At 42.4% G+C, this 25,749-nt stretch overlaps 1 protein-coding gene across 3 annotated transcripts in view, besides 3 other annotated features; it reads right to left on the reverse strand.

Moving 5' to 3' along the window:
• MAML2 (mastermind like transcriptional coactivator 2) overlaps positions 1–25,749 on the reverse strand; it is a 366,598-nt gene that overhangs the window by 190,210 nt on the left and 150,639 nt on the right. The window lies entirely within an intron of this gene.
• Positions 13,215–14,108: an enhancer, noted in NCBI's record as "OCT4-NANOG-H3K27ac hESC enhancer chr11:95913186-95914079 (GRCh37/hg19 assembly coordinates)". NCBI's record gives its function as "activates a minimal SCP1, AML or CMV promoter by ChIP-STARR-seq in primed H9 embryonic stem cells {active_cell/tissue: H9 hESC(primed)}" and the evidence as "EXISTENCE:reporter gene assay evidence [ECO:0000049][PMID:30033119]".
• Positions 14,109–15,001: an enhancer, noted in NCBI's record as "OCT4-NANOG-H3K27ac hESC enhancer chr11:95914080-95914972 (GRCh37/hg19 assembly coordinates)". NCBI's record gives its function as "activates a minimal SCP1, AML or CMV promoter by ChIP-STARR-seq in naive and primed H9 embryonic stem cells {active_cell/tissue: H9 hESC(naive and primed)}" and the evidence as "EXISTENCE:reporter gene assay evidence [ECO:0000049][PMID:30033119]".
• Positions 21,053–21,112: an enhancer, noted in NCBI's record as "active region_5421". NCBI's record gives its function as "activates an Ori minimal core promoter by ATAC-STARR-seq in GM12878 lymphoblastoid cells {active_cell/tissue: GM12878}" and the evidence as "EXISTENCE:reporter gene assay evidence [ECO:0000049][PMID:35858748]".

Below are 25,749 nucleotides of genomic sequence, written 5' to 3' on the forward strand. Positions count from 1 at the left end.
TCTATTAGACCACCCTGATTTGAAATAACAGCATCTTGTTCTGCCCTACTGACTGCTCACCCGCTAAAGGCTACTTTTCATGAATACATTCTTAGTCCTCTCTCTTCTCCCTTTATGCACTTTTCCTGAGGGATGTTCTCTGCTCCCATGGCTTCACCTCCCTCCCTGATGCTGATGATACCAAACACCATGTCCCCATTTGAAAACTTGCTGTTCATTCATCTTAATAAATGCCTGCTGGGAATTTCTCTTCCCTGGAAGGACTGACAGGTGACTGCAACCTAACCTGTTTAAAACTGAGCTCTTTAACTCTCTCCACCTCATACTTCCCTTTCTTGGAGTCCTTATTTCAGTTAATGCCATTGCCATTTGTGTTAGAAAATAAAGTCTAATCTGGACACTCGCTGCTCACTTGAATCCTGCCTCTCCTGCCTCAAACAAGTGTCTCTAATGGGTCCTCCTTTTCTATTCCTGTTGGCCTGTGCGGTAGCTCAGACCTTCCAAATCTCTTGCTCTTACTCCTTCAATCTTCCTAGCTGGCCTTCCTCCTGCCAGACTTCCTTCACACTAATCCACTTTATGCCTTCCACACTGGCCCCCAGAGGTGTCTTCCCATCAGAGAAATCTGATAATGTCACTCCCCTGCCTGAGGAGGCTGCCCAGAGAACTAATCTAAATTCTTTCGCACAGAGCAGAAGATCTTTCACTCTCAGCCTCCTCTTTGTCCCTGCTCCTCACATCAGTCCCATCACCCCTCTCCCAGGCACCTTTGCTCCTGTCACATTTAATGTCTTTTGCCAAAACAAATTATTTGTAGCCATTTACTCCTCCAGGCTGTGTGCATGCTTCTCCCTCTTACTTGTCACAAAATCTCCTCCCGATTCTTCAATACCAGCTGCAATGAATCATCTCATTCATTAATTCACTCATTCAACATATTTATTTTGAGCACCTAATATTTGTAAAATACTGTGCTAGAAGAAGCTAAAGAGACAGAAATCCTGTTCTCACTGAGCCATATATTTTTCTGGAAGCCTTTCTTGACACCGTTGGCAGTTAATAATTTCCTCCTAATTCTCATAGCATTCTGTTCATACATTATCATAGCAATTAACAAGCATATGTAATGACCTATGTATATGTCTGAAGTCTGGATTCCTGCTGAGACTGTGAGCTCCTGCGGTTGGGGCTGGGAGGGTTGCTGCAATAACCAAGTCTTATTCCTCTCCAGCTTTGAGAAGAGTATATCATATAGTAGTTAAGCTCATGGGTTCTGGAGCTGACTACCTGGGTTCAAACTCTGTGCCATTTACAGGCTCTCTAATCTTGAAAATTTTTCTTAATCTCTCTGTGCTTTGGTTTGCTCCTCCGTTGAATGAATATAACAGTAGTAACTATAAAGTTGTAAGGATCAAAGGAGTTAATTTATGAAAGCAATCAGTATAGAATATGGTAGGTGTTCTACCTTTATTAATTCCATTATGGTGCCTAGTAATAGAAAGCCTTCAATAAAAGCTGACTGAATTAGTAGATAGATATTATTTAAATGTAAGATCTATCTATCTACCTATCTAACTCTAGTCAAAGACCATATCATCTCATTCCCAGGAATGAAAATGGTGAGGAGAGATGAAGTCCAGGCAGCCCAGGGCAGTGGCTCTCAGGCTTTAGTGTGCTTTAAAATCTCCTAGGAAACCCATTAAATTTTCATATTTCTGCTCCATTTCTGATTTGGTAATTTTGGAATAGATCTCAGAACCTGCATTTCTAATGAGCCCCCTGTGGATGGAGGGTTGTTGGATCACATTTTGAAAAATACTAGTCCTTGAGAGATCTCTTAGATGCCTTTCCTCATTGAGGGTCCCAGAATGACACACTGTCCCCTGCACAGGGACTGGAGAAATCCTGCTGTTCAAGATGGCATAGTGCCCTGTGAACCTCAGGGTCCTTCCATGGAAGAACATCAGGGAGGAAATGAAGTACATAAAATTCACTATGCTGAGATCAGCTACAAACACATGAGTCATAAAGTTGTGCTGGCTGGTGTGGGGATTTGAGAAACGTTTCTGTGTAATCCACTTGGGTTATTTCACAAGAATTGGCAACGCAGCAATGGTATTTAGGGTGCCTAGTGGTGCTATTCAGATTTGAACTACACCATAAGTTTCATGTAGGCTTAATTTATTATTATTAATCTGCCATAAATTGCTGATGTGACTTTTAGCAGGCCACTTTGCTTTTCTGGCCTCTTCTTTCTACGATGGGTGGGTTAAGTTTCTCTTAACCTTCCAACTTTGTTGTTCTGACTCCCATGCAGGGAATTACATACCACTGACAGAAGGCCTGAACGAGTTAATAACCCTTCATAAGAGAGAATAGTTTACTCTGTATTAACCTCAGCTTCAGTTTCCAAATGTCAATCAATAGCAACACAACTGGATTTTTTAAAGTGAAGAGAGAGTGCCAGCTCCACTGTGCATCCTTATCCAGCACTCAGCTGTAACAGGAATGAAAAAGCACACCTGAAACAAAGACCCATTCTCTTTCCTCCTGCTCTGCCTGCAGCAAACCTGTTCCATCTAGCACTTTCTCCAAATGCTGCATTTTCCTGCTCCCAGGCCCTGGGGATGGGCAACCCAGGAGGTGGGTGCTCGAGCTCCTCCTTCTAAAAAAGTCCTGCTGAGGTCATCTGTAGGAAGTAACCTGGTCACGTCCTGGGACGCAAATTGAAAGGCACTAGCAATAGTGAGTTCATGGCTGGTTTTCTGTAAAGCCAATTCCCATTCTTAACCTCTATTTCTGTTATGCCAGCAGAATGGGGTAAGAAAAGACAAACAGAAAAGAAAGTAAACTTTTTTTTTTTTTTGAGATGGAGTCTAGCTCTGTCACTAGGCTGGAATGCAGTGGCGTGATCTCAGCTCACTGCAACCTCTACCTCCCAGGTTCAAGCGATTCTCCTGCCTCAGCCTCCTGAGTAGCTGGGACTACAGGTGCGTGCCACCATGCCCAGATAATTTTTGTATTTTTAGTAGAGACGGGGTTTCCCCGTGTTGCCCAGGTTGGTCTCAATCTTTTGACCTCGTGATCTGCCCGTCTCGGCCTCCCAAAGTATTGGGATTGCAGGCGTGGGCCACCGTGCCCGACCAGTAAAACTTTATTCTTCTAGTATTACCTAACATGGAGCAACATCTCTGGTTCTGAGTTATTTTGCTGTACATTGTACAGAGGGCTCCACAACAAAAATGCCTTCTGTTTGTTGGTTTCAAGAGGATACAGGTTCAGAGAATGCACAGCATCACACGGTCCCTTTCCACTGGTTCAGGGCACATCATGTGCTACAGTGCACCTGCCCAGCATCGTGCTCACATTCTACATTCCAATGTCCACTTGGGTGGTATTTTCCAACCTTTTCACAAACAAGGGAATCCCAGCCTTTTATTATTTCTCCCTCCTCTGCCCATATCATGGGATGAAAGATTTTTCTTCCAAATTGCATTAATAAGTAATTAATGGAATTTAAAAATTAATCAGACACAGATAATGGCTAATCCATGCTTCTCATCTTCACCAGAGTACCAGTGTAATTATTTTTATCATACCAGCGAAAAGCACAGAAAATTGGCCTCTCAGTGAGTTTATTCAGTCTTATCACAGATACAGTTTGCTTTCTGATAAGCTTTTTAGAAAATTGAAGGTAGCTCAAAGAACCTCGATTATTCCTTGAACACTACATTTTGACAGGAAGCTAAGCAAGAAGAGTGTAGATTCTATTCCTTCACAAAGAAGGGGTAGATGTTTGATGCGTGGATTATCAGGCAGCAAAGGACAGAAGAATGCCTTGGCTAATGCATGGGGCTGGAAGCTGTGGAGAGAAAGGATGAGGGAGAAGGGTGGCTTCTGTGTGTAGATTCTACTTTTTTGTTTTGAGATGGAGTCTTGCTCTGTCGCCCAGGCTGGAGTGCAGTGGCGTGATCTTGGCTCACTGCAAGCTCCGCCTCCCGGGTTCACGCCATTCTCCTGCCTCAGCCTCCCGAGTAGCTGGGACTACAGGTGACCGCCACCACACCTGTCTAATTTTTTGTATTTTTAGCAGAGATTGGGTTTCACCATGTTAGCCAGGATGGTCTCGATCTCCTGACCTCAAATGATCCGCCCGCCTCGGCCTCCCAAAGTGCTGGGATTACAGGCGTGAGCCAACGTGCCTGGCCTCTACTTTTTTTTTTTTTAAACTACTGGTTGAGGAGGTGCAGACTAGTTGAGCCCTGGGTTCCCACTTGTCTTTCCTCTCTCTTACCTCCACCTCTTTTCTTTTTCATTTCCTACTGTCTCCAAGGTAATTGATGGTGGGACCAGAAAGAGGATGGAGTAAAAACCATTGGAGGGAAGAGTGAACTGGGCTATCAGATTGTATGTGAGCTGAGAAGAATACACACTCTTCATTGTCTGCGATTATTATCTAACGGTGATATGTCATCACCTTATTGCATATGTGTTATACCTCCCCAAGACCGGGCGCGTTCTTCTCTGTCTTATTCCCCTCGTGTTTCAAGACTCCATCCAGTATGGGTAGGTGCTCCTCTTCTGTGTTCAAGATATTATATTTAATTATTGGTTCATTTTTCCGACCTTCCCACTCCACTCTGCAATCCAATGAGGGCATCTCTATTCCCAGGGCCCCAGTAAAATGCTTGCATGTGATTCGTGTTCAATAAATACATTTTTAATATATTAGTGAAAATATGTGTAAATACATGTCAGATAAAGGACAGTGTTCCTTCTGGTTGTCAATGCAGTCATGGGACTAATGAAACAGAAAACAGGTACCACCCAAAGTTAAACTCCAGTGAGAGAATAAACAACACGCCAAAGTTCAGTAATGAAGAGCCAAATCAGAGCTGGAGACAGGGTGATAGTAGAAACCAAATAATGAATGGCAGATGCCAAGGGATATGGGTCCAGTTAAAGGCAACCCAGGAAGCAAGCAAGGGCAAAGGAGGTTGTGCATTCTTTAGGGGAGGGAGGCGTCTGTGGAAGGCCCTTGCCTGCCACCTTCTCCATTCTCAGCAGTGTCCCTCAGAAGAAGCACTGCTGGTGTCACAAGGGCTGGGATGCTAACCCCTAAATCTGACAACTTTGGTGAAATTGCTACTTTGATATCAGAGACCATGCCTTCCATGTCTTGGGTATTCCAACAATATTGTCCCACAGTGCCTTGTAGAGAGCGACACTTGGGCAAAGCCCTGATTCAACTAAAACACAAAGCACAGTATATTCTGATAAATATGGCTGGAATTTTTGGTTCTTTTGTACACTTATGTATCCAAAAAGTTTAGACCTCTGCTTATCACATAGTTGGTGCTCAATAAATATTTTTTGAATGAATACATGAATGCTTAAAACCTCATTGCAGGCCATTCTCCCTGTGGTCAGAATTGAGTAGTATTTCTAATTAACCCTCAACAAGGTAGCTTATGGCTCATCAGCAAAGCAAAAGTGGATACTAAATCTTAATGCATATGGATTCATCACTTGATGAAGTGCATCAGAGCCAGACTGGTGGTGTTCAGAGAGTCTCCTTCTCAGGTAGCTTCTTTGCTCATTTCTGAAGCAATCTAAGCCTGCTCCTTTTACAAGATTTGGGTAAGTTATAGCAGCAAGAGAACAGCTTCTTTTCTCAAATTGGTTTCTGTTCACGTCCTCTTACGCGAGAAGGAGGGCTCTGTGCCTAATGCTACATTTCAGAATTTAGAGTAAGATTCAGTGTCTGCAGCCATGCATTTTTGTCCTGAAATGTTGCCCTTGAAATCAATGACATGAAAACACAATATGAGTAGTGGAATAAATTTCATATGAAGTAGCATATGTGTTAAAGGCATTTACAATCCCAGAGAATGTGAGTTTACATTTCACTTGTCCTGCTACAATGCTCTATGAATTTACTCAGCTGGTTTTAATAATAATTTTTTAAGTGGTGGGAATATTTTTCTGTGTGTATATTATGGAATGAGAGACTCTTCCAACAAGAATTTAACACCAGCAGAACACATGTGTACAGATGGAAAAACATGAGTAGTTCTCTTTCATATGTTTTCCAGCCTCTCGATATGTAGAACACCACACACTGAATCAGAGCCAAAGTGCCTTTCAAATGGGCATGCACCCTTTTTGCCAGTTGCCATGGATGATAAGATTCTACTTCCTTCCTAATATCGTTCTCCTCCTTGCACCCCATCATGATCGTTTTTGGCATTTACAAGCCATCTCTTGCCAGGTTCTTGCCTATGCAAACATACTACTCCTCTTTCCCTTTTACAGAGGGGCTCTGGGACCCAGGGGCTGTCGGGGAGATGTGTCCCAGAGCACTTGGACACAAGACTACAGCTATCAACCACAAATATCTTGGAGGAAATGTTTCACCACCAAAGGAAGAGCCTCAAATGTAGAGTATATTTTTTCTCTTTCTACCATGACAGGAAGCAAGAAAGAAGAAAAAGCATTCTAAACAAAATGGTTTTGTAAATAAGAAACCAGAGGGAGGAGCTGATTTTCAGTGGGACAGAGTTCCATCTTTAACAGGTTCAGTTTGAGGGGCCTGGGAAGTCCTGGAGATAAAGGCCTGGAGCTCAGGGCAGAAATCGGGTCCATCCTGGAAAGACTAAGATTTTCAGAACCATCCACACAGAAATGGCAATTCTGGGGGAAGAAACGGGTAGGACACTAAGAGCTGAGACTGAGCTTTATGGGTCATCCACCTCTAGGAGGGTACAGGAAGAAGTATGAAAGGGGCAGAATAACTCGTAAGAGGAAGAGGAAGTACACAAGCTCATTGAATGCCATGCAAGCCACAGGAGACAGAATTTCAGGAAGCAAGGAAGTGGACCCTCAGCGATGGCAGAGGCCACAGGGGCGTCGAGAAGGTAAGGACAGGGACTTCTTTGTCTTCGTTTCTTCTCTCTTGTCCCCCAACATCATTATGTACTCCTCACTTTCTCCAGCTCCTGCCTCACTCCAATAACATTCTGATTAGAACTGCTTCTCCTGAAGGAGGCAAAAGATATGTACTATTGTTTTTGCTCTTTTATTTTTCAGAAGTATGGCCATTTTGTCACCTGTTTCTCTTCAGGACAAGGGGACAGCAGGAAACACTTGTGGCATATCCCCCATGTGCTAACCACTGAGTGGAGTAAAACGGTGATGAAAACATTTAAGCAGCAATGACTTCACAAAAGGCGGCAACAGAATCGTCAAGGCAGAGGAGTTGATCTTGGGAGCAGATGGCCTGTCCTCCCATCCCAGTCCTTCCACATGGCATGAGGGGCAGGTCAAATTCGCCTCTCCTTTCCTTCATACCCTAGAAGGAAAACCCTTCCTGGCTCAGCCAGTTGTCATGAGGTCACATAAGATCTAAAGGCTGCATGAATAGGAAGTCCTGTTAAGGGGATGCCTTGCTTTTCTGTCCTGGAAGGTTCTTACCAATCGCATATCCTCTGTGAACACTCCCCCAGGACACTGCCATCTATGGTGATTTCCCTCATCTGAAATTCTCCAGCCAACATTTAGACATTACCTATTTCACTTTATTTTATTTTATTTTGAGATGGAGTATTGCTCTGTCTCCCGGGCTCGAGTGCAATGGCACAGTCTCGGGTCACTGCAACCTCTGCCTCCTGGGTTCAAGCAATTCTCCTGCCTCAGCCTCCTGAGTAGCTTGGATTACAGGCACCCGCCGCCATGCCCAGCTAATTTTTGTATTTTTAGTAGAGACGGGGTTTCACCATGTTGGTCAGGCTGGTCTAGAACTCCTGACCTCAGGTGATCCACCCGCCTTGGCCTCCCAAAGTGCTAGGATTACAGGTGTGAACCCCACACCCAGCCTACTTATTTCACTTTATTACTTAAGTACCCACAAGCCCAAGTGAAACAATCTCCTTGAGAAGAGCAACTGTGACATACACTTGTGGGATACCCACAAAGCCTGAAGCATGTGCAATTGTTAACCTGCAATAAATGCCTCTTGTGGCACCTATGATCATTCAAATCTCTTGCCACTATTTCCCTCTGACAGTGGATCTGTTTTAAGGGACATCTTCTTGTCTTGGCCTTTGGCTAGAGTAATATTCTTGGAGCGCAGAAACCCTAAGGCATTGTTTTATAATCGCCATTCAGCATTTCCGAGCACTTTGGAAAACATGGTGCGAAGCAGCTCCTTCTTAGCATGTTACACAAGCAACGTTAAGCAAAGCAGGAAGGGGAAAACTAGAGGGAAGGATGGCCCAAACTCCTGGGGCTGACTTCTTAATCTAAGCCTTCTAATAATTACCACAAAGGAATATTTATTTTAGGAGTCTTGCATGCAACTTCATTTCTTCCTCTACTGCTTATTTTGTGACCCAGAAAATTTTACCATCCTTGCAAGAATAAAGGAGTGTCAGGTTTTCTTGCAGTAGAGATGCTATTCCTCATCAAGGGAAATGGAAACCAAATTAAACTTTGTTCTGCAATTTTAAAAACATATCTCAAATGCAAGCCAACAAAAATCTCCCTGGGTCTAGTTGCATTAATTTTTGTATGATGTGCAAAGCAAACCACTGTAGTAGCCCCTGGCTGCAAAAACCCATAGAGGTACCACAGACCTTGTCATACAGTCTAAAAAATCAGAAGACGTGGGTTTACCACCATCTTTCTCCACTTTAGCAATATTTGTCCTTAGCATAACAAGGACATGGAAAGTCAGTGTCTTAATGCATGTAGCAATACTTTCTGAAATCTCAGTTCTTTTGTTTTGTTTTGTTTTTTTTTAGATGGAGTGTCACCCTGTCATCACTCAGGATGGAGTGCAGTGGCGTGATCTCGGCTCACTGCAACCTCCACCTCCTGGGTTCAAGCTTTTCTCCTGCCTCAGCCTCCCAAGTAGCTGGAACTACAGGCACCCGCCACCATGCCTGGCTATTATTTATTTATTTATTGTATTTTTAGTACAGACGGGGTTTCACCATGTTGGTCAGGCTGGTCTTAAACTCCTGACCTCAAATGATCCACCCACCTCTGCCTCCCAAAGTGCTGGGATTACAGGCATGAGCCACAGCGCCTGGCCTTAAACCTCAGTTCTATAACTTACCTATTGTGAATGCAAAATATAGGTTGCCTCTAATTCACATAACACATTGGAGAATAGGAGCATAGGGAAAAAAAGACTCCTCAATGTGTATAGTGCTTTATTGTTTAGAATATGCAATCACTGGAATTATCTCCTTTAATCCCTATATCTACCTTTTGAGGTAAGTATGAGGACCCAAATTTTACTCAAGAAGATGCGGTTCAGAGATGCTGGGTCATTAGCCCAAAATCCTTGAAGAAGTCATTGTCAAAGCCAGTACTTAAAGCAAGGTTAAATCTCCTGGGAAATCCACACTTATTTAACCCCACAAAGTTGTCTCCATATAAAAACTTAATATTTGTTACAATCCATCTTTATGGAAAGATAGATTTCAATGTTTAACTCAGAAAACTGAATAAGCTGTCAATCACTGAATGCTTACTGTAATATGCTAGATACTATATTATGCGATTTATATACATTATTACACTTAATCCTAAAATGATTCTGAGAAAATAATTAAGTGTTTTAGGGAGTAAAGCAGGGGACTCATCTTGAGGTAGGAGAGAGCTAAGGTACCCTGGATCTATTCTGCGGTGCTGCTGATGGTCAGTAGGAAGGACCGCTTTTGGATGGGGCACAGAGTCTTCTTGCCACTCTATGAAACCCTTCAACACAGCTCTGGTCCTGTGAGGGGCCTATGAGAAAATGGAAAAGGTGAGACCACCTTTTCGAAGCCTAGTCTTGTTGTAACTGAACCATGTCTGATGAGGAGGATAGGTGTTGGCAGTTATGGAAATGGCATCAAGGGCTCCTAATTAAGGCCACCAGGTAGTGGGAAGGAAGTAGCTCTGGTTGTTGAGGGCTGGATGAATGTCAGGCACTTTAATCTTTCCAGGGTTTAAAGGGGCTTGGAGGAGCTTCAATGTAGTGATACCGATAGGTGTGAGATCAAAATCAAAGAATTTTCCTGATCGGCATACCACCAGGCAGGGAAAAGAATGACTGAGCACGCTATATGCCAAGCACCATCCTAGGCACTAAAAATACGGAGATAAAAAGGAGAACATATTTTTACCTTTGTAGGACTTAGGGTCTAATAAGGAATAAATATACCATTCATGGTCCTTTTTCAGGTCACCATGCCTGGAGAGGCCAGAGTCACATATGTAAAACAGACATGAAAATGTATCAGGAGAATGTAATTTTACTGAAAGTCTCTCCAGATATACTGCTGGTTTAACTCTTGATTGAACCATAAAAGTGAAGTCACCCCCAAACTGCATGGTGTTCTCAATTACTTGAGTTCAGCTGTCACTGGCAGGAGGCCCTTTGAGGATTATGAATCATTACCTGTATCATGTTATTAAATGGGAAAAATATGTTCTAATAGAATGTGACTGTCAATTTTCAGGGGCATTACAGTCCCCTGGGAACTGAACTGCATCACAAGAGGACAGGCATGTCACCGGGAAAGAAGCAGGCATGCATGTGATATGTACAATCATTCCTTTTCACAACATACGTGGTAATGAGGTAGGTTTTATCCAAAATAGCATAGGAGTACTTGCAGACAACCGTCCAAGTGACAGGCCACTGCCAAAGTTACAAGGTATGTCAATGTTTAATACTAAAAATCTGACAATGTGGTGGGGGATGGGTTTTTATTTGGGGCTGAGTCTTCCCCAGGCCATAAAATACACCTAGAAATATACTCTTTTTCATAGAAAAGCTGCAATCACATTCAGTCTCTTTCTATTATTTTCAAATACCTTTGTGTCTGACCTAAACATTTGTCCTGAAATTATTAGCAACTCCAAGCCTACATTTTGTCAAAAGGATTTCCATGAAAGATAGGATAAGGCATGGGGTGTGGGAGAGAAGTGAGCATTTGAGAGTGGAAATATAGTTTGGGAATAATTAATTTCTTCATGTTGGAATTCACAGACAGTGGCGTTTTTGAGGGAATTTTTGAGGGAAGTAGAAAAAATTGAATATCTGGAGACCTTAGTTGTGTGTGTGTGTGTGTGTGTGTGTGTGTGTGTGTGTGTGTTTAAATAAGATCCTCTACCTGGGATACAATTTAAATCCTGATGAGATCTACAATTTTGTACTCTTTAACTTAAAAAAAAAATAAATATCACAATTCATATAAGCGTTTCTTTCTGGGAATTTTTCTTTCTTTTTTTTCTTTTTTTTTTGCTGACACAGCCAGGCTGAGACATCAACACCTACAAAAACTGTGGGAAAACACATTAAAAGTGATTAGAAAAACAATAAAAGACATCCGTGGGTTTGTGCAACTCTCTCAGACAGTTTTATGAGGAGGATCAAAGATGTGGGCCTCGACTCTGTGATAAACCGAGGTCGGCTGCCATGATGAGGACATGGTTTCACATGAGTGCCTTGTTTTTAATGCCCGTGGAGAGAGAGCAGGCGCACAGCATCTGACTGAGTGAAGGGCCACCTCTCTGAAATCACCCCTGACTTTGATCAGGAGGCAGAGCCAGGGGTGGAACAAATATATTTGATCTGAAGAGTTAAATTCTCCCTCAGCCAGCTTTTTAGGAATGACCTTACTGTGCACTAGGTCACCAGCCACAGAGAAACATCAGTTCCTCCCTGGCATATGTCAGGAAATGGCTGCAGGAGTGATTGCCTCTGAGGGGGAAAAGGGAGCTGTACAACCAATCGCCTAAAACTACCAACACCACATGGAATCAGGGGATGTCACAAAAGCCAGCTTTAATCAAGCTTGATTGTGGAAAACATAAAAACATACGCAGCTGCAGCACAATATCTTATTAATCGTCACCAGTGTTCCAAGAGGTAGGTGTTAATTGTCTCTTGTGCTTCTCTGGGTATGTCTGGTAGCCGGTTTTGCTGTTAACTTGAACACGGATTAGATGTGAGGAAGAACAAAAGGATCAGGAGGATTTCTAGGCAACACAATCTCTTATAAAATGGCATGGCTATTGGGGGAAGAAGATAATGCTTTGCAGAATTCTAATTTTGACCCTCTTCTGAAAAAGGAATCCAATTTTAATAATCATTGCCCGATGAAATGGTCACCCTTGCAGTGCTGCAGGCTGTACACGTGCCTGAATTTGATTAGACGGCATCCCGAGAAAGGGTTCATCTGCTTTTGTCTCTGGGTGATTACGTCTGTGCAAGTGTCTGTCAAGTCTGAATTATTCTGCCTCACATTATATTTCTGCCCAGCAACATAGTGCTGCATGTTGTGACAATGACCTTACCTTCCAAACACCTTTCAAACAAAATGTCTGGTTCACCCCGGCTCATTATAACTAGATATGCCAACTGTTATCCTTCAATCTGAAAAGAGAGAAATAGTTCAGATGTCCAAAAGGAAGGATATGAATAGATGTTACAGAAGCCAGAGAATGGAGAAAATACACAGGATCAAGTAACAATATCAAAGAGAAAAATATGACTTCGAGGTCCACAGCCTTCTCTTTTTTGTTCTTTACCTTCCAGTCCTTCCTTATTTCTTTAACCCCCTCCTCCCAAACTCTTAATGATGTCAAGATTTCTGTTTCTTCCCTCTCAAACCTACATATAGGAAAGAATGTAAGATGAAAAATGGGATCAGATGGCCGAGACTTAAGTCCAGGCTGCTTCCCTAATCAGCTTGGGACTCTGCAAAAGTCAGGATCCTGCTCCAGGTCTCTGAAGGTTAGATGATATTTCAGACTCTTCTGGCCACAAAACAAAAATAAAAAACAAAAAGCCAGCAACCATCACTCCTACTTCAAGCCATTTTAGTATATGTGGTCTAGGAGGGACCTGGGAAGCCACCAAGGTCCAAGATGCTGCTTTCCCCTCCAACTCTCTTTCACTCTTTCATGCCACTCTCAGGACATCTGTGTTTCCCTTGATGCTCCATTCTCCTTTCACTGCCAACTTGTCAGTTTCTCAGAGAAGAGCCACCTTGGTTCAGGTACCAATCCATGGTTCAGCCAGTGGCCACCTTGGCCAACTAGGAGCTGACATTGCTTTCTAGCCACAAGGGCTCCAGACAGGACCATCAATCAGAAAAGGATAGTAGGGAAAAGCAGGTACTATAACCATAGTGGTTTCAAAATCTATTCTCAAGGTCCATTCGAAACTAAGAAACCATGACTTTGAGAAATAAGGTTTTGGATCCCCTTCTGGAGTAATACTGAAGAATGCAGAATTGCCTAAGAAGGTCATAGCTGAAGACCTAGTGTGGGCAGTAGTGATACCAAAGAAGCCAAAAAAAAGGCTGCTGTAAGTTTGTGATGGATGGTGTTTTTCTAAAGGACCACAGCAATACCTCCATTTCATAGGCTCTTCTGGCGATGTGATTTTGACACTCCTCCCCCTGAGAGGTGGGTCTACGTTCCCTCCTCTCGAATCAGAGCCAGAATGTGTGACTTCTCTGACCAACAAAATAGAGTGGCAGTAATGCTCTGTGACTTCCAAGGCTAGGTTATAAAAAGGATACAGTTTCCACTTGGCTCTCTTTTTCAGGATGCTTATGCTGGGAATCCAGCCACTATGTTGTGAAGAAGCCTGGGTCACAGAGAGAGACTACATGTAGGTGTTCTGGCTGACTGCTCAAGTTAAGATCTCAGCCAACAGCCAGCAGCAACCACTAAACATGTGAGTGAGAGAACCTTCATATGACTCCAGTCCCTTGGTCTGTAAGCTGCTCCATCAGAAGCCAAAGGGAGCCAATCTGGACTGACTCCTGCTCAAATTATAGGCTCAAGGGCAAAACAGATGTTGTCATTGCTTGAAACCAGTAGGTTTTGGGGCAATTTGTTATGCAGTTATAGGAACTGGTACCTTCATGTGTGTCCGTGTGAAGAGACCACCAAACAGGCTTTGTGTGAGCAATAAAGCTGTTTATTTCACCTGGGTACAGGCGGGCTGAGTCCGAAAAGAGTCAGCGAAGGGAGATAAGGGTGGGGCCGTTTTATAGGATTTGTATAGGTAAAGGAAAATTACAGTCAAAGGGGGTTTGTTCTCTGGCGGGTAGGAGTGGGGGTCACAAGGTGCTCAGTGGGCAGGAGTGGGGGTCGCAAGGTGCTCAGTGGGGGTGCTTTCTGAGCCAGGATGAGCCAGGAAAAGGACTTTCACAAGGTAATGTCATCAGTTAAGGCAAGGACCGGCCATTTACACTTCTTTTGTGGTGTAATATCATCAGTTAAGGTGGGGCAGGGCATATTCACTTCTTTTGTGATTCTTCAGTTACTTCAGGCCACTGGGCGTATACGTGCAAGTCACAGGGGATGTGATGGCTTGGTTTGGGCTCAGAGGCCTGACAGTACCTCCACTATGTTACAAATTTCACCTAAGAAGAAGGCAGACACACCTCCAGAAAAAGTACAAGTCTAGTGGTTAAATACTGGTGACCCTATAAGGCAGGAGCTGCTTAGCTACTACTTGTCTTATCTCTGCAATGCTTCATGAGAGGATAATTGGGAGTTGGCTCTCCAGATCGAGACTATTTTTTTCTCCTTCACAATAACTTAAAATCTCTGCCTTTCTTTTGAACCTATGCAAACATCAGCAGTATACTTTGTGCAACTATATTAATAACCAAAAAACTTTCTATTAATAGGAAAATCTTCCTTTACTTTCTTTTCTCCTTGCCCTCCCACCCCCTTCAAGTCTTTACAACGTTGAGAATAAGCTCCTAAGATGCAAAAAAATTACAGCTTTTGGCCAAGTGTCAAGGAGAGCTGACATCATATAGAAGAATGGTCATTAATAGTCAACACTCATCCATAGTGGCCTCACACACTGGGCAATGAATGCTGATGGCCATCAGTGACCATCATATCCCAAACTGAAAAGATACTGAGTATCTTTTCTACTGATACTGAAGATACTGAGTATGCTTCACTAAAGCAATAGAACGCTTTAGTGAAATGCACGATCACTGATCAATTCTTTTCTACATTTGTCCTCAGCCATTTTTTTCTTTATATAATATCACAACCACTATCTAATTCAGCGAAAATCTTCCCTTTTATTGTAAATTTCCTAAACTCAGTTTTATGTCTCATCTTGGCTCCCTTAAATGTTAGAATTACTTTTTCATTTGCAGTAGGTATGAGGAAAAAAGACAAACTAATTTTCAAAAGACGTGGTGGAAAATGGATTGTAAATTCAAAGACCTGAGCTTTAGTCCTACTCCTTTGCTGAAGTTTCTTGTGTGATTCTCTGCGTGCCTCCGTTTTAATTTCTATAAAATTGAATATAAGGTCTGCCTTACCTGCCTCCCAGGTTTTGGTTTGTTTGCTTTGTTAAATAGGTATAAAAGCACTTTGGAAAATGTAATGTTCTACAAATATCGAAACAATGGGTCTGAGGATAAAAACAACCAACTATATGAAATTTTAGGTACTCCTAGTCCAGAGCCTTACGCATTCAACAAATATCTATTTAGGGCTTACTGTGTATCAGGCAGATCGCTAGGCACTTGCCTATGTACCAACAGGTTTCATGTCTTCCCTGGTTTCCTTCCCCACAAATTGACCTCTCATCTGATTGACATGATTTCCCTCATCATAGAATTAAACTACAAAAGCAGGGTATTGCTACTAGATGTAGAATTAAAGCACAAAGGCAGGGTATTGCTACTAGAAGCAGGTTAAATTCAACAAACATTAGCTAAGCACAGACTGGCTAGTGTTTTCATTAACAATATTTTATTTAATCCCCATAATAATGCCATCATGTGTATGTCCTTATTACTGTTTTATAGATGAGAAAGTTTAAGATCAAAGTAGTTAAGTAGCTTGCACAAGTCCACACAGCTAGTAAGAGGGCATACCTGAGATTCAAACTCAGGTCTCACTCTAAGCAAATTGTTCTTTTCATTTCAACATGCTCCTTGTCAAGATGTTTGCTCTCGCTGGAGAAGGAATGGGATGGAGATCTCCTTACCATCCACTAGAGGAACAGAGTTTTTTTTTGTTGTCGCTATCATACCCGTTAATTATGATGTAGCAATAGAAAACTTTTGGAAGCTCTTCTTCTTGGACATCCTTTCTTTTCTTTTTTTTTTTTTTTTTTTGAGACAGAGTCTTGCTCTGTCACCAGGCTGGAGTGCAGTGGCATGATCTCAGCTCACTGCAACCTCTGCCTCCCAGGTTCAAGTGATTCTCCTGCCTCAGCCTCCCAAGTAGCTGGGACTACAGGCGTGTACCACGACGCCTGGCTAATTTTTTGTATTTTTAGTAGAGACAGGGTTACATCATGTTGGCCAGGCTGGTTTTGAACTCCTCACCTCAAGTGATCCACCCGCCTCGGCCTCCCAACGCGCTGGGATTACAGGCACGAGTCACTGCACCTGGCCTTGAACATCATGTCTATACATGTTCTATATTCAGCATATTTGCTTATATTTTCCAAAGTCATGAATTTTAGATTTTTTATTTCTTTTTTCTTCCTCTCTTTCTCTCTTCCTTCCTCCTTCCCTTCCTCCGTTCCTCCCCCCCCCCCCTTTCTTTTGAGACAAGGGTTCTCTCTCTGTTGCCAGGGCTGGAGTACAGTGGCACAATCACAGCTCACTGCAGCCTTGACCTCCTGGGCACAAGTAATCCCTCTCACCTCAGCCTCCTGATAACTGGGACCACAGGCACATGCCACCACACCCAGCTAGATTTTTTTTTTTTTCAAATCTTTGTAGCAACAGGGGGATCTCCCTGTGTTGCCCAGACTGGTCTCAAACTCCTGAGCTCAAATGATCCTCCCGCCTCAGCCTCCCAAAGTGCTAGGATTATAAGCATAAGCCACCACACCCAGCCCATTTCTTTTATTATTACTTTATGTTTCAGAGCAGTCTTAGGTTTACTGCAAAATTGTGAAGAAATTACAGAGTTCCACATACTCCCAACTTTGCATTTTTACATGACTGTTTTTCTCTATTTCTATAACCTAATAAGCATGCTTTTCCTACCTTCCTACTGAACTTTTTACTAATATATTATCTAATTGAAATGAGCATACCCAGTACATTTACTAGAATTAGATGTGGGACTCAGAAATAAATCTGCAGGTTTGTTTTGGACCAACTATGGAAAAGCTACCTCAAATATGTGGAGGCCAAAAGTTTGCATTTGCACTCTACTGAACAGGGAGAGATTATGCACTCAGTTCTGTCCTTTGAGGATGGTACTCCCGGGCAGCACTACATCTCTTGTCACTGGGTCAGGCCAAGCAAAGCCCTAAAAAGCAACATTAGAAAAAAACGCATAAAGCTGGGCACGGCGGCTCACGCCTGTAATCCCAGCACTTTGGGATGCTGAGGTGGGCAGATCACGAGGTCAGGAGTTCGAGACCAGCCTGACCATCATGGTGAAACCCTGTCTCTACTAAAAACGTAAAAATTAGTGGGCGTGGTGGCACATACCTGTAATCCCAGCTACTCAGGAGGCTGAGGCAGGAGAATCACTTGAACCCAGGAGGCAGAAGTTTCAGTGAGCCGAGATCATGCCACTGCACTCCAGCCTGGGTGACAGAGCGAGACTCCATCTCAAATAAATAAATAAATAAATAAATAAATAAATAAATAAAAATAATGCATGAACAATGGTAAAGGTGGCGATTTCAACCCTTTATAATTCAGAGCCTATGGATTATTCAAATTCCAAATGGAATGCAAGCAACTCTGAATATAGTCATTTTACTTTTTTTTTTTTTTTTTGAGATGAGTCTCACTCTGTTTCCCAGGCTGGAGTGCGGTGGCGCTGTCTGGGCTCACTGCTAGCTCCGCCTCCCAGGTTCACGCCATTCTCCTGCCTCAGCCTCTCGAGGAGCTGGGACTACAGGCGCCCACCGCCACACCTGTCTAATTTTTTGTATTCTTAGTAGAGACGGGGTTTCACCGTGTTAGCCAGGATGTTCTCGACCTCCTGACCTCGTGATCCAAAAGTGAGACCTCGGCCTCCCAAAGTGCTGGGATTACAGGCGTGAGCCACTGCGCCCAGCCCAAAAAATGTTTTTTAAATTTGTCTAGGATTCGCTCTTGGGCACTAAGTCATTTGGGGAGGGTTTGTGATTTTTCTCCCTCTCAGAAGAACTATCATAGGAAGAAATGAAGAAACTTAAGAGTTCCTTCCTCATACTGTTTAGATTTTATTCATCCAATTGGCACCCAAAATCCACTACATAAAGACTTTGAGTGCTCTGATTTAAAGAAATCTATGAGATGTATGAGTGAGAAATGGTCCACCGAGGCTGAGCTGCTCTCAGTGGAGCTCCTTATCGTAGTGACAAAACTCAGGACAAAACTCCATCTGTGTTACAACCACCTCAGGGACTTTTGGTTACACGCAGTTGTCAGAAATAACAGGACTTTGGTGGAACTGCCTTTCTAGAAAAGGAGCAGTGAAGTGTTAAAACCAGTCTGCTTTCTCTCAGTTGCACAGCTGTGGGCTGACCAGGTGTCACACTGTAGGTTTTTCTCTCTTTATAGCCTGTTTCCAATATGTTTTCACAGGTGCTAGCATAGGAGGGCAGTGTTTTCCAGGGAGGCTCGACCATGTTCATGGAGGCTGAGCGCTGGGTCTTCCACAGAAAACAACTGCTCTCAAGGAAATTACTCATGACTGGAGGATTGTTCATGCCTGTTACCCAGCCTTGTCCACACACATTGCTACTAGTTTGGGGTCTAGATGAACATGTGGGCCGCAGACTGGCATCACCTGGGAACTTGCAAGAAATGCTGACTCTCAGCCTCTCCCCCAGACCTGCTGAATGAGAAGCTGATTAAGCAAGATTCTCAGGTGATTTGCATGTTACTGCTCAGTGTTCCTCAAATTTGAATGTGCATATGGAGTCCAGACTTGGGCTTTAGAACCTTGTGTATGCATCACCTCTTTTGGGCCCTCCAGTCTTCTGGTCTTTGTTTTTATACATTTTTCTCAGCCTTGATAGCCTGCATCTATTTTACCTTGTGCCACAATCCAGATGAGGCACAGTTTAATGTAATATGTATAGCATCAATGCGTGGTGCACAGATCCACAGCATAGGTACCAACAGAAAGCACCTTTCAAATACAGACTCCCAGCCCCTCCCCAGACCTACTGGGTCAGAATCTGCATTTTAACGAGACCTAGGATTTATTTACACCTTACAGTTTGAGGACCCCAAGTGTATAGAACCCACAAATTCTCCCATTCTGATAGACAGCATAGTTTACTTTCTTACTTTAATAAGCTGCATCACATACCTGCACACTAGAGGAAATTATACAGCAATAAAGCATAATTAGGTTTTGCTCCTAAATGAATTAAATATTAGCTTTTACAAATTGCCTATCAAATCACAGGAGAATCAAAGTACTTTTTTGAGTCCCTAGAAAGAACAGATACACAAAAGTGTACTATAAAAGTGGGATGAAGGCCGGGTGCAGTGGCTCACGCCTGTAATCCCAGCACTTTGGGAGGCCACGGTGGGCGGATCACCTGAGGTCGGGAGTTTGAGATCAGCCTGACCAACATGGAGAAACCTTGTCTCTACTAAAAATACAAAATTAGCCAAGCGTGGTGGTGCATGCCTATAATCCCAGCTACTCAGGAGGCTGAGACAGGAGAATCTCTTGAACCCGGGAGGTGGAGGTTGCGGTGAGCTGAGATTGTGCCATTGCACTCCAGCCTGGGCAACAAGAGTGAGAATCCGTCTCAAAAAAAAATGTGATGAAAAGAGGGGCAGATGCAATGATAATTATTTTGTGAATGTTGGCTACTATGTTAAGTAACTCACATGCATTTTATTTTCACAACTCCACTATGTAGGAAGTAGCATTATCCTCATTTTACAGATGAGAAACCGATAGAGAGAGCTTGAAATCACTTTCTCAAGGCTACATAGTAGGTGAGTGTTAGAGTGGCAGTTTGAACCCAATAGCCCCTGGCTTTAGAGCCGGGCCCCTTAACAACTATTAGCCAGTGTATCTCATAGAGAGAAGCTTTTTACACAGAGGCTACCATATGCACAAATATCACAAGCACAGTATGATTTGGTAAATGATACTGAATTCAAAGACACAAGTTTCACTCATTTTAAAATTGTGACTCAAACAAATGTGAATAGTGCCTAGAGGCTTCCTTGCTACTGAACTGTGGTCCATTTTTTGAACATTCCTGGTGCCCTGAGTAATGTACCTTTAACCTTATTTGAAATTCCCAGTATCTTCAGTGGGTGTCTGAGGGGTCTTTCTTACCTCTGTGAATCAAGTTGTCTCTGCACATTCATTTGGATACTTTCTCCCCATCTTTTTTAGAAGCTAAGTGTGATAGCTAAATGAGATAACATATAAAATGTGGCACATAGCAGATGATTAATAAAAGCCACTGTTATTCCAGATTGCTGGTTTTCTCAGACTTTCAAATTAACTCATTACCTAGATGCCAAAAGAAATATATTTGGTATTTTCTTGACACTTAGTAGGTATTCTAGAAATATTTTATTTTAAACAGATGAATGAATAAACAAAAGAATTGAGGTATAAACGTAGCTTCACTTAAGGAATCACTGCTGATCCTATCCCAGGTTGTCTTGGAAGTAAATGCTTGAACTCCCAGCATCATTTATCCAAAGTGAGTAAGAAGTTTTAAACAGGCCGGGTGCGGTGGCTCACGCCTGTAATGCCAGCACTTTGGGAGGCCGAGGGTGGTGGATCACAAGGTCAGAAGATGGAGACCATCTTGGCCAACATCTCTAGTAAAAATACAAAAATTAGCTGGGCATGGTGGCATGTGACTGGAACCCCAGCTACTCGGGAGGCTGAGGCAGGAGAATCGCTTGAACCAGGGAGGCAGAGGTTGCAGTGAGCCGAGATCGTGCCACTGCACTCCAGCCTGGCGACAGAGTGAAACTCTGTCTCAAAAAAAAAAAAAAAGTTTTAAATAACTGTCGTGTTTAGGAATGTCCACCTATTACTGTTCTTCTCCTCTGCTCTGATATTTTTCACTCCAGTCTATGGACTAAGCACTCCAGAAGAGGTGTCTGCTTCTGACTCCAGCACTGTGCATACTGATTCATTCGGCTGGCATTTGGCCTGGCCTTCATGTGGCAGAGGTATCTTTGGCCTATGGTTAAATGGAGTTGTCCCTCTGATGTTTCTGACTTGGCAATGAAATCTCAGTAACCAGAATCATCACTACAGCACCCTGCTATTTAATCTTTGCTGGAAAGTGATGAAAACAGACCTCACTTGTATGAGAACTCTTAGGTTTAGTGAAAGCAATGTGAGAAGTCGCCAAGTTTGTGCTTTGAAACAAGCACATGTTTGAAACCTTAGGTTTCTTTTTCTTAAGCTTTCCCAAGTTGGAAGCTTATAACACAGACATGAAAGTCTGATTTAAGCAGTTCCTATAACCTTTCTAATTTCAGATTTTAAAACTGCTTTTGCTTGAATAGAAAATGGAAAGCCAACACATCTCTCTCTACCCCCATCCTTCCCTGAATAACCTAGATACTTAAGCAATCCTTCCCTTCCCTGGGGCTGTGACTGTAGAGTATTATTTTATTGACTCATAATTAAGAACTTCTGATGAGAAAACCAGTCAACAGAGAAAAATGGCTTGGGGGTCCCACAAGCAAAGAGAAAGCCTGTATGTCCCTATTATGGCAAGTACAACAGGCAGGAATGAGGAGATCTTACAAAAGAAAATCTTTTTGAAAACGTTAAGTCCTTTAAAAAATGAACTTTATGTCCTTTTTGAGGAAGTCAGTTTTTTTTTTTCCTTTCCCATAATGTAATGAAAACGTGAGTGGTAGTTTGAGCTGCTGTAAGATTCAGGGAGTGTATGAGAGAGTGAAATTGTGTGTGGGAGGGGACTGACAATGGAAAGTTGGTGGTGAACACAGAGTGTGGGCAGAAGGAAAAAAGCACATGTGAAACATCTCTGAAAGGAAGTGTCACAGGAAAAACTTTTGAGGCAGCATTCTATGGGGCTGGTCAGAGCACCACCAAAGCTGCTGTGCATTTGTTCAACATTAAAAAAAAAATTCTGCTAAACAAATAAGCAAAAGATTTCAAATGTCCAAAGAGCCACTGAGGAGAAACCATTACTCTTTTAACTGAACAAATATTCCTGGAATTCAGTCACATCTTATTAGTAAAGAGAAGCTTCTAGCTCAATGCTAGAAACTGTTTTGTTTTTTTTTTTCTATATCTGGTTCCACTCATGGAAATGACCACCTCTGCACCCATTATTCACCGGCCATATCTAGTTTAATACAAGAGGTGATTTGCCTCTTGGTGCCTTGAGGTATGATTTGATGAGAGTTTGGTAATGCATATAAAATGGATTTCCATTATCCAATTATAGCCAATAGGACCTAATCTGACTTCTCTGAACAATTTTTTAAACAAGTAGCCATTTTGTATGGCACAAGTTTCGTGCTTATAATTTACTTCCTAGGAAATCTTTATGTATTAATGTAGTGTTTTTACATACCAATAGTTACTCCTAGAAGAGAATAGACTTTTAAGACTCATTTAAAGTGGATGCTTTGAATTCTCCATTTGAAATACCTGAAATAAGCTTAAACACTATTGCGGGATAGACTAGAAAGAAAAGTAGTCTCTTACCACTATGACTAATTTCAGGTAACTGAAAATCTACAGCTTTGAAACTGCAGCACTACTAGTTAATTTGCAACAGCAAATCTGTTTTTCTTCTGACAGATTTACTCATTCATGTCATGTTTCATTATATTCATTCTGTGGACATACAACATAAGCTATTAGAATGTGAAATCTACTTGCTACTTTGTTTGTTGGGCATTTTGTTTTGGTTGTTTAGATCTGATTGTAGGTGTCCTTGCTGAAATATTCAGGAACATCTGTGGGAAGCTAATTCTTCATTCAGAAAAGAATCCATCACAAGAGGAAATAGCTTTAAAAACTGGAACTGGGATACTTATATTTTTATTCAGTTGGCTTAATTTATTATTCTAAAATATTGAAGAGGACTAAAAGAATTTTTCTTCTAAAGTTCAGAGCCAAAGAATCTAGGATTGTATATGGCTGAAGTTAAAAGTAGGTGTCACTAGATGACACAAAGATAAAAAAAATCTTAATTCCTATTTTTTTACTCCCTTTTTCAAGGAATGATTTCACACTGAAAATTTGTTAAGAGGAAACTTTAAAAGCCAACATGGATGAAGACATGTTAATAGAGCACTGAATTTTTAGTTTTAGTGATGAACATGGAGTCTGCAATATCCTAGTATACAAAATGTGGACATTTGATGTGAGGTGAGGTTTTTGGGGAGAGATTGATGGTGGATATACATGTGTTAGGCACTGATCCAGACTTCTTAGGCATTACCTCATTTAATCCACCCAACAGCCCTAGAAAGGAAGTACTGTTGCAGATGAGGGGATCTGTTCATGAGAAAGTTTAATGAACTTGTCCCAGGGAAGGTTAATGAGGGGAAGAATGAAATTTTGAAATCAAGGTTTACTGGCCCACAGAATCCATGATGTTACTAGCCACCTCTTTTAGATGGATTTGTAATGAGTTATACATCCATATCTACAGCCAATCCATGAAAGAATGACAAACCACAGGTCACTTATGGTAAGGCAGGGAGCTGATGTCTCCCAGTCTTACAGAAGACTTTGTGTTGATGACTTAGTGAAATTTATGAACGCATGCAGAATAAATTTATCAATTACCTGGAACTGGGGCCAATAAAAATATTTGGGGTAACAATCAGGATAGAAATGATCTCAACAAACTGAAACTATGAGCCAGCCCTAAAGAGATGACATTTAACGGGGATAAATGTAAATCCCTCTTCATGGACATAAAATATCAGTTGTACAAAATGAGCAGAATTGGAGAGAAGTGATCTAGCAGGGGGTCTCATGTGTAAAAACATTTAATGTAACTCAAGTTATCAAATTTTTACTGAGGGCCTATTGTGAAAGAGACAATGGGGTACAGGGAGTTTTAGCTGACAGTAATTTCAATACTAGTCAATCAATGTAGCTGCCAAAACAATTAATGTAATCTGAGGTTGCATTTATAAGGTTAGTCTTTCTCTAATCTCTTCTTGTCACACCATATTGGCAACATAGCATTCAGTTTTGTGTACCCCCTTTTAGAAGGAGGATTGCCAAACTGATACCTGTTCAGAGGAAATACCAGGCTATAGATGCAGAAAGAGTCTAAACTACTATTATGTAAGAAAGATGCAAAGAAGTGAGGATTTTTAGGTAGTAGAGGAGTCATCAAAGGGGAAGCATAAGAATGGAACTAGGCCGGGCGCAGTGGCTCACGACTGTAATCCCAGCACTTTGGGAGGCTGAAGCGGGTGGATCACAAGGTCAAGAGATTGAGACAATCCTGACCAACACGGTGAAACCCCATCTCTACTAAAAATACAAAAATTAGCTGGGTGTGGTGGCGCATGCCTGTAGTCCCAGCTACTCAGGAGGCTGAGGCAGAAGAATCGCTTGAACTCGGGAGACAGAGCTTGCAAGTGAGCCGAGACCACACCACTGCACTCCAGCCTGGGCGACAGAGCGAGAATCCGTCTCAAAAAAATAACAATAATAAAAAAAAAAAGGGCCGGGAGCGGTGGCTCAGCCCGTAATCCCAGCACTTTGGGAGGCTGAGGTGGCTGGATCACGAGGTCAAGAGATGGAGACCATCCTTGCTAACACGGTGAAACCTCGTCTACTAAAAATATAAAAAATTAGCCGGGCATGGTGGCGGGCGCCGGTAGTCTCAGCTACTCGGGAAGCTGAGGCAGGAGAAAGGCGTGATCCCAGGAGGCGGAGCTTGCAGTGAGCCGAGATCACACCACTACACTCCAGCCTGGCAACAGAGCGAAACTCTGTCTCAAAAAAAAAAAAAAAACCACAAAAGAATGGAATTAGTTGAAATTCTACTATGTGAAAGGAGGTTCAGCTAACTGGATGTAGACCCAAGTTCTTGTCTAGGACCAACACATGGAGTTGTAAGAGAAGAGACTCAGGAAATGGATCATCATGTGAGTTCTGTCAGTGACAGTGTTGAAATCCAGCTGGAAGGCCACTGGATTGGGCTGTTCTGGCAGGAATTCCCGCAATGAACGCTTTCCAACTGGGTAGTATACAAGGTATTTTCCCACAAATCCTAACTATGTGAAGGTTACACGTCTGCAGTTTCCCATCTCATGGATAAGCAGAGTCTAAAGGAGGAAAGTAGAGGCTTTGAAGTCAAGTGAGGGTGAGCTTTCTGCAAAGCCGAGGGTCGAGGCTGGCTGGAAAACAGGGCTGGGAACCTGGGGCACTAAAACATGGTGGGTTGGATGGGCAGTTAGGGAATCATGTGGTTTCTGGGAAGAATGCGATTTGCTCTCACTTTTGAGAAAAGGTGCATGCAACACTTGCTAGCTCTCCAAGACCAAGTTCTTAGAATTCCCAGCTGTGATCCTTCATAACAAGGAACGTCACTGTGACAGGTCTGTTTCCCTAAATTGTGTCCCAGGAAGAAGGAGCCCATCAGGTGCAGAATGCTAGGTCAGGAGTTAATATCACTGGGACACAGATTTCTTAAATGTACAAAGACTTCCAAGGATGCTTCCAATCATAAGAATCTATGATTCTAAGAAAAATGGAGGTGATCTATGATGAGGAATTTTGATA

This window comes from Homo sapiens, chromosome 11 (assembly GCF_000001405.40).
Source record: "Homo sapiens chromosome 11, GRCh38.p14 Primary Assembly".
Lineage (NCBI taxonomy): Eukaryota > Metazoa > Chordata > Mammalia > Primates > Hominidae > Homo > Homo sapiens.